Source organism: Homo sapiens, chromosome 21, assembly GCF_000001405.40.
Source record: "Homo sapiens chromosome 21, GRCh38.p14 Primary Assembly".
NCBI lineage: Eukaryota > Metazoa > Chordata > Mammalia > Primates > Hominidae > Homo > Homo sapiens.
In genome coordinates this window covers 30263110-30264665 of record NC_000021.9, presented here as the reverse complement: position 1 = coordinate 30264665, position 1556 = coordinate 30263110, and the positions used below count along the sequence as shown (strand labels likewise).

General features: G+C 41.7%; 1 pseudogene; it reads left to right on the top strand.

Annotated features, from left to right (window-relative positions):
- On the top strand, window positions 785–1318 carry RPL8P2 (ribosomal protein L8 pseudogene 2; annotated as a pseudogene).

Sequence of the window (1556 nt, the reverse complement as noted above, 5' to 3'; positions counted from 1 at the left end):
TGCCCAAGTATCCCAGGACCTAAAATAAAATACAATTTTTTAAAAAAGTTTTGGATTTTGAAACATTTTGAATTTTGGATTTTCAGATTAAGGATACTCAATCTATATTATTATTATAGATAATGGTGAGAACCTGTTCACAGAATACATGTTTAAGGATTTTCATTTAACAAGGCTTTTACTGAAAATACAGAAAATAATCAGCTAAATTACTACCAGTAGTGGAATGTAAGGTAGGAAGATGACAGAAGATGAATAATTAATACGTGATACTAACGGTCTCAAAGCCAGCCATGGGGACATAACTGGAAATAGAAAGAAATGGAGACGCCACTGAGAAATTTATGGAGAAGTTTTAGGAACACCTGGAGAATAAGAAGGTGATTCTGAGCATGGGTAGAAAAATGACAACTTGGAGTAAAAGGTTTGTTGCCAAAAATAGGGAGAGAGAAAGGTCAGGGACGTTGATTTATTTTTGCACTGCTTTTATTGCTAAATGTTCTGAAAGGATCATTTCCTCCCCCATGACAAAAAATGCTCCATCAGCACCAGCCCAGGGTCTCTGTGGAAATCAGGATGGAAGGTGGATCAATCAAATTCAGCAAGAGAGGGGTTTGCCACTGCAAGTCTCAATTGATTGTGGGAAGAGGTCACATTTTGTGGAGGGCTTGAGAGACAGAGTCTTTAAAAAAATGCTTGTTACATTTTCAAATTATGAATTGAAATTCTAGCACCATTATTATAAAATATTAAACCTCATTTTAATATGAAATAGTAAAATGTTGCCCAGCTCAACATTGGCAATGTTCTCTCTGTGGATACCATGCCTGAGAGGTACAATCATGTGCTGCTTGGAGGAGAAGCCTAGAGACCATGGCAAGCTGACCCAGGCATCAGGGAACTATGCCACAGTTATCTCCCACAATCCTGAGACCAAGAAGAGCCGTGTAAAGCTACCCTCTGGCTCCAAGAAGGTTACCTCCTCAGCCAACAGAGCTGTGGTTGGTGTGGTGGCTGGAGGTGGCCAAATTGACAAACCCATCCTGAAGGCTGGCTGGGCATACCACAGATATAAGGCAAAGAGGAACTGCTGGCCACAAGTACGGGGTGGGGTGTGAACATGAACCCTGTGGAGCATCATTTCGGAGGGAGGTGGCAGCCACCAGCACATCGGCAAGCCCTCCACCATCTGCAGAGATGCCTCTGCTGGCCAAAGTGGGTCTCATTGCTGCCCGCCAGACGGGATAGTCTAGGGAACCAAGACCGGGCAGGAGAAAGAGAACTAGTGCTGTTCTCAATAAAGTTTGTCCTTATGCCACCAAGAAAAAGAGAGAGAGAGAAGAAAGAAGCTGTGAATCATGTTAATCAGTGCTAAATCATGAAAAACTGTCACTTTTCTACTTTTTTTCTGAGGAGAAACCTGCAATCCAAGATTGAATTTATACATGTATTTACATTTCCATCCCCCTATCTTTACTAAGCGCCTACAGTAGGCATAGCAAGCAGCATACAACATATCTTACCATAGAGCAGATCATGTCTACATTGACATAGCT